Source organism: Homo sapiens, chromosome X (genome assembly GCF_000001405.40).
Source record: "Homo sapiens chromosome X, GRCh38.p14 Primary Assembly".
NCBI lineage: Eukaryota > Metazoa > Chordata > Mammalia > Primates > Hominidae > Homo > Homo sapiens.
In genome coordinates, this window is record NC_000023.11 from 32,588,416 (window position 1) to 32,602,427 (window position 14,012).

The 14,012-nt window shown below is 37.9% G+C and overlaps 1 protein-coding gene across 17 annotated transcripts in view; it reads right to left on the bottom strand.

The window, feature by feature from the left end:
• The window catches only part of DMD (dystrophin), a 2,220,167-nt gene that overhangs the window by 1,469,194 nt on the left and 736,961 nt on the right, over positions 1 to 14,012 (bottom strand). For all 17 annotated transcript variants that reach the window (XM_006724469.4, NM_000109.4, XM_011545467.2 and 14 more), the window contains 1 exon segment: positions 7,342 to 7,461. In XM_006724469.4, coding sequence (XP_006724532.1) covers positions 7,342 to 7,461 — 120 coding nt within the window.

A 14,012-nucleotide genomic window follows, 5' to 3' on the forward strand; every position in this document is an offset into this window, starting at 1 on the left:
CCCGGTGGTATGTGCAAAGAGGTCGTAACATACAGGGTATCAGAAACAGCTTGTATGAATCAAATGCAGGTTGAGGGACATAAAGCAGATAACATGAGACAAGTCTATAGAGACTGGTAGGAGTCAGGTAATCAAATACCTTGTAGGCCAAAGTATCAGAATCTGGAAAGTGACTCAGGATTTTAAGCAAAGGAGAACGATTAAACAGGCTCTTGGGAACCCACACTGACTTCAATGTGGAGATTGGATGGAAGAGCGGTAAGACTGAAGGCAAGGACTTTGGGGGCTTATGATATGGCCTATACCTTGAGAAATGTTGACAAGAACAAAGATGAAATAATAAATACAAGATAAGGTTGAGAAATATTTTGACATTGCATGCAAAGGGCTCATAAGGGAAAGGACAGGGATGAATTTGGGGATGACTCTAGGTTTCTGGTACAGGTGTCATGATAAGTGCCAGTGCAATGACAAAAATAAGAAATTCAGTAAGGAAAGCAGGTTTAAAGGAAGGCAATGTACAGTGAGGTAAGTTTCATCTTGTTGAGTTTGAAGTGTTGTTTGGACTTCAAGGATGTGTTCAGAAGATAATTAGAAGAAAATGGACTCAGGAAAGATCTGGGCAGAAGACATCCAGAGTTACCAACTTCTGTCTGCTTCTGATATTATGACATTTTGAAAAACCATAGAGAAAGTGCCTTCCTTTTTCACCATCACAATAGTGTTCATGTGCCATTTCCCTATGATTAGTTATTTTTTAATTAAATAATCGCCCACTCTACAAATATTCTTCACAGGATGCTGCCATCTGAGAAAATCCTGCTAAGATAGAGTACCAATCGTGGGCGTAAAATACAGTGTATTCAAATCAGCATAGAGTATAATTATTAGTTCATGTAATCTAGACACTATATCACAGTCTGTGATTGCATTAACTAAGAATCTGTATCATCCTTAATATCAAGCTTGTTTCAAAGTAAGCATGTGCACTCTATCTCATATGTGCTTATGTTTATGTATATGTATGTATATACATATATATACATATGCACAAAGATGTACGTATGTATATATATAGAAACATAAAGAGATGTATATAAATTTAACTATATACACATTTATACATATATTTTTATATAGACAAAATTACATGTATTTTTACACACTTACATTTATATATATTTACATTTATATCTATAGATGGGAAGTCAGACCCTTTGTATCTCAAACTAATTCAACTGATTTATACTACTTGCATTTTTAAAAAGCAGCAACATTTCGAACTATAAACATGAGTTTTCTGACTTAAAACAATAGGATGTAACATTTGTATATGATATTCTAACTCCTCAGGACATAGCTATAAACCTTCTAAGTTAATATGGGAGCAGAAATATTCCATTAACCACTCCTACAGGGGCACACTTTACACAGAGCCCCAGCTAAATCCTCAAATGGCTTCCTTCCCCAGAATTTTCAGCACGTAAATCAGATACTAGAAAGGAATATATTAAAACACAGACTCACCCACGAACACTCATAGAGAAAGATAGACTCACCTTACCAATAAACAGTATCACGCAGAGGCTTTGCTAAAAGGTTCAGGAAAATCAGAATACCTCAAATTCATTCCATTCCATTGGATCAGCCAATTTAATAAGTCTAACAAAATAATTTGTCTTAATACTACCACAAAGTATTTCTACAAATTGTTTAATGTCATCTGATATAAAGTTGGTTTACATGACTCAATTTTAGCGAATGTAGCTTAGTTCTTAGAAAACTATCTCATCTGCAAAAATTATTCCTTCAGGCAATAAATATGTTTATTAACTGCATGAGATAAGTGAGAAACCATACCAGTGAGCATGGCCTCATGTTTAATAATCTGATCCAAAATTGTGTTTTCCAGGTTTTCCTTCTTGAAAATAGAATACTTGTTGTGACGGTTAATATTATGTGTCAACTTCATGGAATTGAGGGATGCCTAGATCACTGATGAAGTATTGTTTCTTCCGGGTGTGTCTGTGAGAGTGTAGCCAAAGAAGGCTGACATGTGGACCAGTGGACTGGGAGAGGAAGGCCCACCCTCAATGTGGGTGGGCACCACCCAATCAGCTGCCAGTTAGACTAGAACAAAGCCAGGAGAACAGGGATAAAGTAGCTTGCTTGGTAAGTTTACTCACTCTCTTCCTGTGCCCTGCGGGGCAGTTGGCTTCCTCTCCTCCTGCCCTCGGACATCAGACTCCAGGACTCCAGGTTCTCCAGTCTTTGGACTGGGGGACTTACACCAGTGATTTCCCAGGGGCTCTAAGGCCTTTGGCCTCACACTGAGAGCTGCACTGTCAGCTTCTCTGGTCTTGAGGCTTTTGGACTTGGACTGCACCAGGCTACTAGGTTCTCTCTTCTCCCAGCTTGCAGATGGCGTATCATGGGACTTCACCTTGTAATCATGTGAGCCAATTCTCCATGATAAACTCCTAAATGTATATTTTATATACACATATATACATCTATCTATCCATCCATCCATCCATCCAGTGGGTTCTGTCCTTCTAGAGAACCTTAATACACTCTGTCTTTATCCATTCTTTATAATTATTTTTATTAGGAAAATCAAAATACGATATGATAGTCTTGCTATGTTGCCCAGGCTAATCTTTGAACTTCTGGGCTCAAGCAATATTCTCTCCCCAGCCTTCCAAAGTGCTGGGATTACAGGTGTGAGCCACTGTACCTAGCCTCATTCTTTTCATATACTTTTAATTCTCCAAAATATTAGGCAGTAACTTCAATATTAAAGTATTTTAACAAAATAATTCAAATGCCTTTTATATGGCAGAAATTCTCCTGGTTCTATGACCACACAGACCTTCAATACATCTATAGTTGGCTCTCAACTTTTAACTTGTACAGAATAACATACCTAAAAATAGGGTTTTAATGGTTTTGCTTTTTCTTTGGAAGACATTTTCATTAGAGCATCTTCTATAAGCTATGGGCTTAACCATGTTTCTCCTTCTTTCTTTATTAGAAACAGTTATCTCCCAAGAACAAAAGGCTTTCTTTATGGTCTTTTTATAGTCTTTTTTCATGCAAGTTTTTATAAACCACGCTCTCTTGATTTACCATTTATCCATCCTAGAAACTCTACCCACCTCCACCAATCTCACTTATGATGGCAGCAGCAGCCTGTCTGGAGCGGCCACTGCAAAGATGCCAGCTGCAGCAAGGGAGGCGTGGCCAGGGCTGTGCACTGTGTGGAGCCACCAAGGGCCAGGAACAAGCAGGAGCGCTGCTCCCTACTGAGTTGGCAGGGTGGGAGCCCCATGCTTCCAGGTGCAGCTGCAGCCACCCAGCCACAGCTCCGGACCTGGGCATTCCTGCGCTCTTGGGGGCCTGGGAAGCCCCCCTGCCTCCACATACTAAGAAGTGCCTGCTCCCACTCCCTGGCATCTCCTCGCTCCCCGCACTGGCTCCTGGGAGAAGCAAAGTTGCGGCCAAGACCAGGTGTTGTCGCAACCTGACTGGTTATGTGTGTGCTCGGGACAGTGCTGGCATGCCAGCCCCCTGCTGCCTTGCGCCCGTCTGGACTTTGGGCACTGATGAGCATGGGAGAGAGGCTGAGTGGGGACTGAGGATGGTTCGGTGTGGGCCTGCAGGTACCCCTTGGTATAAACTGCCTAGGCTACATGGATGGCATGTTGATGGTGGCAGGAGGCAGACTGGCTCCTGGGCAGAAAGGAGCAGATCCACAGAGAAACCCCTCCTTCAAGCCAAGAATGGCCTGAAGCCTGGGGGCTGGGCTGCCAGTTCTGGGTGGAGTTTGTGGCCCAGAATGAGAACTTATGGTGCTTTTTCTGGGCCTATCCATGGATGTCCATGGACCAATTAGAATGTACCTCCTCCCTTCCGAGCCCATAAAAACCCCAGACTCAGACAAACTTAGACATTGGGACTACCAGCCGCAGGAAGGAGCTACCTACTTTGTGTCTCCTTGACTCTTCAGGATGACCTGCCTGCATAAAGGAGCCACCCACCATGGGTCTCCTCTCTACTCACAGCTGCACACTCCCTGGGACGACCTGCCTGTGGAAAGGAGCTACCCACCGTGGTATCCTGAGAGCTGTTCTCTCGCTCAATGAAGCTCCTCTGCACCTTGCTCACCCTCCAGTTGTCCATGTACCTCATTCTTCCTGGACATGGGACAAGAACTCAGGACTTGCTGAATGGCAGGACAAAAAGAGCTGTAACACAAACAGGGCTGAAACATGCCCCCCACTCACCATGCTATGGGCAATGAGAAACAGAGAAGAGCTGTGGCCTTTTGCAGAGCCCAGACCTTGGGGCTCCTCAAGCCAGGGTTGTGGCATGCTGTAACATGCTCCTTGGGGCTCTGTGGTTCCTGGTGTCTCTGAGCTTTCAGGTGCCACCGCGATCCCCTGTCCAGACATTGGTGCCTGCAGCAGAAGCTACTTGTGGTACATCTGGTCCAGCCACAGCCTCACATGGAGCTGCCACCAGTACTGGTGCCTGTAGCTGCCTTCCGCTGCAGCTGGCATGCCTGTCTGTGCACAGTGGCCAGGCCTCATGCTCGCTTGCTCACATACCTCTTACTGCTCTGTGCCTGGCTTGCCCTTGGCAGGCATGGGGATCCGGGCCAGTAGTGCAAGCCAAGCACAGCCTGCCAGGCTGAGTGGGTGCAAGGAGCCCAGCGGGCACAAGCAAAACCCAGACAGAGGTGCTGCCGGCCACAGAGGTTTCTGGCTGGCAAAGTGACACCCAAGGATCCCATGACACTTACATGCACACTTTATCCATTTTCCTCCAATGTATGATTTAGATCTTAGCTTAAAGAAAACTTTCCTCAGGAATCATCTGTTGCGTTCAAAGTTCAGTCTAAGTCAGAGTAATTTCCTGTCACAAAAGCTTATTTTTTGCCTTTATAAATAAGTTGCATCCATTCTTTAACATTTGCTCATTTTTAAAAATACTTTATTAATGTCTATTTTTATACTGGATTGCATGTACCAAGAGCGCAGTTCCCATGCCTACCTGCCTATCATAGTGACCATGGATGACAAGGAATTAGCATTCTACTACAAAGAGGGAGACTGAGATATAGTCACCATTGTTCCAGGGTTCCAAGGAAGGCAGTAGGCTCTCAAATTACCCATCGCAACCAGGGTAGATAGTGACAAATTCTTTTTTTTAACTGTCTTACCTGGTTACCCAACACAATCCCTGGGACATAGTAAGAACATAACGAGTACTTGTTGAAAAAAATTCAAATGGGATGTGGAATGCTTAGAAAGAGATGTGGTAATGACCTCTAAAACTGAAGACTATATAAATGACCAATTTTAGTTATAAAATTTAGTTTATAAAAATATTTCTCAATCAAATAAGTTAACTGGCATCACTGCCTATGAAACAGACTCTCTACGCACTGACATCCTGGAAGCCTCTAAAGTTAAGGACAAGACTCTAATCTGCAGTAACATTGCTGAGGGACAAGCTGAACCTTTGAGAGAAAGAATCTAATTATCGGAGAGCACACTTTTCAGAATATTACACTTCATAAGCTATGTCATCTTTCAGAAACTCTAAGCATATATTCTGACCTGTCTTTGGTTTTCTTCAAACCTTTTCCAAAGAAGACTCTAAAGGTATTTTAAAGTTAGAGAAATCCTAAAATATCATCATAATAGAATTTACAGAATAAATCAATACATGCAGATATATCCTATTGGAAGTATTTTTAGAGTTCTAACTCAGGGTGTTAAGTATGCATCTCTCTTCCTTATTGGACTAAATGGGGACTTCCCTTCCTACTTTCCCCCATCTGTACCTCTTTACCAAAGACAGCTGGCTATCCTTTTTGAGCCTCTGGATGGCATTTCAACAGAATTTTAGTGCAATGGATGAAGGAATTGTGGTGATGAGGGATGCCAGGGCGAAGGAAGAGAAGGCGTGAGATGGGCACTCAACACTAATAGGTTTTGAGGAATAAGTTAAGGATAGCCAGACTCTGCTCTAATAAAAAGCCTGCTAAGATCCTTCTCTGAGTCCTGATGATTGTTTTTCTTTTAGGGGATCCAAATACCTGTTTCTCTTTCCTGTAATTCTTCTAATTACGTCTACCAGAATCCCTCTCAGTCCAGTATTAAACATATTAAAGTCCACAGTCTCTGAAGCTACCCTAGAATTATAATATACCCAGGGTATTTGTGTTAAATTTTTTTATGTTTTTATACTTTATCAATCTTTTAATACTTTATGATTTCTCCTTACTCCTCCTTCTGTACCATCTTCTCGTCCTCTTCTTCTTGCTTTTAAAAAGTAAACTAGGTAAGACAAGATTATATCACTTGCAAAGAACCTAAGAATCATCTCTGTTTCAAAGTCAAATGGAAGCAGAGCATTCCACGACAATTCCAGCCAATAGTTAAATAAAGTATAGAACTCAAGCATGGATTCTTTTGGGACTGAAGGAACTGATGGGATGGAATCAAAGAAAAGTTATAGCAAGGGCTTTCTCTCCACTTGATTCCTTTTAATGCTGCCCTTTTAGATACTAGTCTAGATTATCTTAAAGTCACATGACACTACAGAGCTATATAGAGGCAAAATGAGAACATCAAAAGAGGAAAGAAGATTGAAGACAAAAGAGGAGGCTGGAAGGCAGTAGCCATTAAAGGGGTATGCAATCATGGACAAATGCAGATAGAGTTTAAGCAAATTAGGGATAATCAGTACATTTACCGATATTTAGTAGATGTCTTTGGGCCAAAGAAATAAAGGCAGAAAATAAGGTGAAAATGAAAGCAAGTAGAAAACAAATACAGAAGAGTATAGGCCCACCATACAACCATCTGTGAGTTCTACGGACTGTTTTTCAAGATGCCTTAACCACACAAGCATCACCTTGGATGAATTATATTGAAAAGCTATTCACACTGGGTCAGCTAATGATGAAATGGGTGCTTTCAATTGTTATTTTAAATGGAAATACTCCATGCCTTAGAAAAATGTCTGCATTTAAATTTTTTTTAACCAGTAACCTCCCTTCAACCCCTGCTTCCCAGCCTTATTTAATATTAATTGAAATTTTCTGGTAAAGTATTAGATTTTACCCATCCGCAGTTAGTTACTATTGTATCAGAATTATGGAATTCTTTAAATCACAGCACTTCAGCTGATTATGAGTGTGTGTATATTGTACACATATTGTATTCTAAGTATTTTAATATATAAATTGCATTCTAAATTTTTAAAATACTTTTCAAGTTATAGTTCTTTTAAAGGACATATTTAGTTTACTAAGCAAAATAATCTGACCTTAAGTTGTTCTTCCAAAGCAGCAGTTGCGTGATCTCCACTAGATTCATCAACTACCACCACCATGTGAGTGAGAGAATTGACCCTGACTTGTTCTTGTTCTAGATCTTCTTGAAGCACCTGAAAGATAAAATGTTTTAAAGGAAATTAAAATGATATTCTTACATGTGTGTTGAAATGATTTGCTCTCAAATGGTGAAATTTATTTCTGCTACATCTCAGGTACTCCCATTTTTTATTAACCTAAAACCATTCCAAGCCAATTTTCTGCTATGACGCTCAGCAAAATTTATATGTTCTATTGTTAATTTAACTGGAAAGTATCTAGAGAAGACAAATGTTAAGAAAGGTACAGCAGGATGTTCTCCTTCTCATCCCACCCCCTTTCTCCCTTTCAAGGACTTTTTTCCTACAACTATCAGCACTTCTGGCATTTTCAGGCTCTTCTTCTCTACTGAACTTCTCCATTACCATAAAAATAAAACAAACTCTTGATCCAACAAACCGGTCCTCCTACTGTCCTATTATGTGTTCCTCTTCACTGAAAAAAAAAAAAACAAATGTATCCTATAGTTACTGTGCCTACATATTTATCCTACTATTCACTTTGCCCACTAACCCATTGAAATATCTTTTGTAAAGGACACCATCAACTTTCATGTTCCTAAATTCAATAACCATTTGTTATAGCGTCTTACTTGACATGTTGATTACTAACCTAATTGGCCACTCCCTCATTCTTGACACCTTCTCTTGATTACCCTCCTACCTATGTGCTACTTTTTTTATTTTTTTTTTCTATTTTGGAGACGGATTCTCACTGTGTCACCCAGGGTGGAATGCCAATGGCATGATCTCGGCTCACTGCAAACTCCACCTACCGGGTTCAAGGGATTCTCCTGCCTCAGCCTCCCGAGTAGCTGAGATTACAGGTGCACACCACCACGCCCAGCTAATTTTTTGTATTTTCAGTTGAGACGGGATTTCACCACGTTGGCCAGGCTGCTCTCAAACTCCTGACCTCAGGTAATCTACCCACCTCAGCCTCCCAAAGTGCTGAGATTACAAACGTGAGCCACTGTGCCTGGCCTATACACTACTTTTTAGCTCCTTTACTCGTTTTTTCCCTTCCGCTCAAACTACAAATCAGATGTCAGTCCGATTTATAAAAACCAATAGATTTCTATCATACTAAGAAAGAAAATTTAACTTCTCTACCTGAAATTCTTATATGATCTAGCACCTGACTACCTCACCAGTCTAATTGTATACCATTCTCGCCCTCACAGTGTTTCAGAATGACTTGCTTTGTCTCTCTTCCAAAAATGTGTCAAGCTGTTCCCTCTACCAGGATTGCTTTTCTTCCAGATGTTTAAATCATTTCTTTATCATTCAGGACTCAATGTAAGTGTCACCTACCTAGAGCAGCTTTTCATGAGCAAACTATCCAATGTTGCTCCCTAGTAATTCACCATTTCTGTCATTTTTTTAATCATAGTATTGTCACTACTCAATAATTTCTTATGTATCAGCTTAGTCCTTTTGTCTCTACTTACTATAATAGGCAGTCCACTAGAACAGAGATGCCCTCTGTCCTTCTCACTATGTATTACAAGCAAATAAAGATCAATAAACATTTGTCAGATAAATGGTACCATGTGGGGGTTTGGGGAAAACATGCACAGATGAGTTTGTTCCTTCCTGATTGCACAAAGATTACAATATAATAGGAAGAATTAGTGATTTTTGGTGTAATCACAATTACACTAACCTCAACAGAAAATAACCACTTGGTCTCAACTGAACCCTAGGATAAAACCAGAATAATTCAAATACTGCCTTTCTAACTTACAAATGTGGCTCTGAAAAAATCATTTCCCCCTATTAAGTGAGGCTGTCACAAAACAGTATTTCCAATCTTTTTAAAAACATGATGTACAATTATTTTGTAATGATGAACAGGGGTAAACACAGGAATAAATTAGGGGTAAACAAAGGAGGCTGCTCTAGAACCAAGGTATGTTGCCTGGGTGCTCCAGATCCCATAAGACCTTACCCTGTTACACTATTTATTATTGGGATTTCTCTGAATAGCTATTTGAGACTTCTAGGCAACTACTTTGTTTCTTAGAACATTTTGTTACATAACACAAGAGTGGAGAAACAAGTTTGGGACATTTCCCGTTACTTTCTGGCAAACGTGCTGTCCCTACTTGCAAAACAACAGTGCTTAGCACCTATCAGTCTAGCTCTTAGGTATTCAAACTCTATGGCAGGTGGAAGGGAACTTATTAGGATGGCTGAATCACAATCTCAAATGCATGAGCATTTTTATCCTAGGCTTCTTATTTTCGAAGCCTCAACATTTTAGAACACTATAAAATCACTTCTTTTTACTTCGTCTCTCTAGATTTTCATACTACATTTTCAAGTGAAGCAATTTAGAATAAAATGACTATGCATCTATTTTGTGTGTGCAATCTATACTGCCTATCATGCCTTTGACATTCCAGAGCTTATAATGGTTAATAAAACTCTTTTTGCCATGAGGCCAAAAATGGAAACATTAAAATTCAGAGTTGTCCTTGACAGTCATGTTGAGTCTGTGTTTTCTGAGTTATATAAGACAGGACTGGGAACATTTTGAAGGTGTCAGCCGGGAATGTTTCAAATAATAATTAAAATGATAATTTGGTGGCCAGTGTATCATAAGTTGGTTTTCTGAATTTAGTCAATTCTTTTCTGTCCTTCAATGAGTATATATAATTACATATATTACAAAATTACAAGTAAATAATGCCAGTTTTCATTTTTACATGTAAATTGCTTTTTCACAATTTTAATATATTTTACTTAAGAAGTGTAAGAAAAACATTGGATCCATGGAATGAATCCAACTCTTATTGAGTCTTTTAAAGTCTATGTGATCAAACGTACTATATTCTCCATTACTTAGTTGTTCTGATTTTGTTTCGTTCATCTATTTGTTTTATAATTGGAAATGGCATTCTTGCCATATTGATCAAGGGTTTATATTTTATGCTTGGCAGAAGTGCTAACGTAAAGTACCACTAAAGAGAGTTGTGAGATGATAGCATTAAAATCTAACACAAGAACCCTCTGGACTTACGGTGAGTACAAGGAAATAAAGGAGTGGGGAAAGGCTCTCTACAGTGACTAAGAACGTTGAAGAGTCCAGAGTGCTGGAGTAGATTTGCATAAGGTACATTTGATTTAATGTTATTTCCAGTATCTCTTCTCCTCTATGACTTTTTAAAATTGTATTTCTTCTTTCTCAGCTAATTAGGAATTAAACTAAAAAAGGTTAAACTGACTTTTTTGAGCACACTAAATAGCTGTAAGACAAAAGCTATGGTAAAACAGTAAGCACGTCTCCTATTTTCTCAGACTTCAAATGCGAAATAAATATTAGTGAATATAACTGTATTAGCTAATCTCCTTAATATCAGCAAAATACAGATTATGAACTATGCAACGTTCAGGGTTTACTTTTACACTGATTCTTACAAGTAGCAGAAACGCCAGACATAAAAAGCTGGAGTTAAAAAGTTCAATTGTTCTGCCAAACTAGGAATCCATGAATAAAGGCCTTGATCATTGGGGTAAAGAATGCCTGCCTGTTTCTCCAGTTGGAAAGAAATGAATTCTCAAGAGTATTTAAAAAAAATAATATGCTAAAGTGTTGTAAGGCTATATTTAATTACAATTTTAAATACTGACTTCTTATGGATTTCAATTTGTCATAGATGAATTTATACAACGGAGATTTATATTGGATTTGCTAATTAAGCCTGAAATATGAGCCAAATAGTTTCCAAATATAGATGCATCCCTAGAGAAGTACACAAAAATGTTTGTCTGTCAGAAAATAATACCTTCAAATTAAAATATTGTAATATAATATTGTTAAAATGTTTTCCTTTATTAAAAGCTTCCAGATTGTACATACACATACACATATATACACACATACTAGGTACTTTATTATGCATTTATTTTCATTATTTTATTAAAGGAATGCTTTTGTAACACTTACCAGATTTCAAACATCTATCATGTTCCTAGTTAAATTTCATTACCATTATTAGATACAAATGTTACCAATGTTTGTTGTCAAATGTCAAATAATGTATTTTTTTCTTTATGACAAGAGAAAAGGCCAACAGTGAGATGTAACATTAAGAATGCCTAGATTGGACAAACAGTTTTTGTTATACCTCTGTGAATAATTGTATTTCTTCTAAATAAGTCTCTAGTTAAAGGGCTTAACAAAATTTGTTACTCCCTTAGTACATGTTCCCAATTTTATTATTTAAACCTGACTTTTCTTGTACTTCTTTTAAATGCCATCAGTGATACTGAATTCTTCTGGCTCTTGTCCATGTCAAGTTGGTTTTCAAAAGTGGCTTAGAAAAACCACTGGAGAGCCACTTCAGTGTTTATTCTAGATCTATGCTATTTTACCCTTTCTTAGAACACATGTAAAATAATACTTAGGAAATAAAGACATGGAATTATGTAAGGCTAGGGAAATTTTTGATTTGATGTTTAAAGGTGAAGAGCAATAATTAATCGAAAGGCAGTATAATAGAAAACAAAAACAAGGATGGGTATCCTGTAAATTCGATGGGAGAAGCTTTTGTTTTACTTGTCTATTTCTTTTGGCCATAGCATAGACTCAGCTATGGAAAGAACAGGAAAAGAACAGCTGTTACCTATATGTAAAGTTTTTTTTTTTTTTAACTACTCCTCCGACTTCATTGAATACCCAACAGCTAATTGCCGGTACTTGCAGGTCACACACACACAAACACGCACACGCACACACACACACACACACACACACAAAACACACCCCTAGAAACAACACAGAACGCTGTTCATCATGAATTGGAAGGCAATCTATTGTCTCCAAAAATGACTTTAAAATTAATATATTTAGATGTTTAATTACAAATATTCAGTAGTTTGTAGTTTATCTCAATAAATGCACACATAAGGAAAGACTAACGAGAAAAAAATTGTAGCAAACATAAAATTTGCAAAGGACATTAAGAATTCAGAAGGTTCTAGGAATAGAGTTGAGTCTAACATCCAGGAAAGAAGTATCTTAAAAAAGCTGTCTCATGAACAAAAAAATCCCTAGATACTAATGATCATGTTAATTCAAGACATCTGGACAGGAATTGACTTTTTTTCAAATAAAAACTTCAAGTACAGATCAGAAAGTGTTAGGATTTCTTGGGAAATGATGGGGTGGTAGGTAATTTATTTTTTTCACTCTTTTCCTCTATGCCCCATTCCTTCTACCACCTCTACACTGGGCTAGGCTCTATATCCCTTGCTGGCCTGAATGATATGATCTGGAAAGGACTTTCGATTTTATTTGCAGTGAAATATTCACTTTGCTAAGCCTGGCTGGTCACAGTATTGTCTAGCTTTCCATGAAGATCTATTTACGGTATATAACTTTGTTATAAATTTGCTGAATATTTTAAATAATCTTCCTCAACAGGCTACCCTAGAAAAGCTTTTGATATTCACTTACTTAAATGTGATTGAATATCTTTATTAGTTCTTATATCAGAACACACTGATTTTATCTTTTTGTTAGAAATGAATGTTTATGTTTCTGCCAACTCCTAAGCTACCAAATGGGGGTTCTGAAAGACTGTTTCAATGGAGAGATTTGAAAGGCTATACAAGCACACTAAATGCTTCTCAATAGCCTGAAGGGGACTCAATAAATACGAAAAGAAACTGTTTTAAAAATAAAGTAGACAATTAATGTACTCCTACATATGGAAAAGGACATAGGATGAAATAGATTGACCAAAACTTGTGCATGACTATGAGGAGACAGTAAAACTGTAGTCAAAAGTGTAGCATCTGAAATCAGATTTTCTATGTGTAATTCCTGGAAGCATCAATAACCAATCACGTGACTTTGAGAAAGTCATCAACCACACCAAGCCTCAGCTTCCTAATTTGTAAAACTAAGATAATAAAACTGCCTATTTCTTTATGTGGTTAAGAAGATTGAATAAGGTAAAACTGTTTTGCATTTTGCCTGGAAAACAATATAAATTCCAAAAATATTAGCATCTAATTAGTTGAAAGAATTCATATTTAGCCATATTTATATCAAAGTTTTGAAACTAAACTGCAATGACCTAACCTAATACTAATCTATTTTACCCTCATCTAATACATTCTGACTATCATCCTTTCTAATAGACATCATAAGTGCAGGAAGAGAATGTGATTTTTGAAAAGTCATGAAAACAAGTGAAGTTACAGCAAAGTTTTAAGGTCTGGAGAAATATACAGTAAGTGTTAAATCCTTAAATAATACCTGAACTTCCAATTTATTTACACTACATTAATAAAAGTAGGTTCAAACTACCTCATCTGATGGTTATCACAGAAAAATTTGCATGGGCAGACATATGTCATGGAGTGAGGACAGTCCCTAATCACGAAATGGTAGCCCTCAATTCTCTTGCCTTTCCTACTCTTTCTACAATCCATGCATGCACCCACCCATACATTCTGCATATAGTTACAGAATTAAAATCAGATTAAAAACCAATAACATTGAATAAATAATTATAAAATGCCTTTACTGAAAATAATTATTGAAAAAGAAA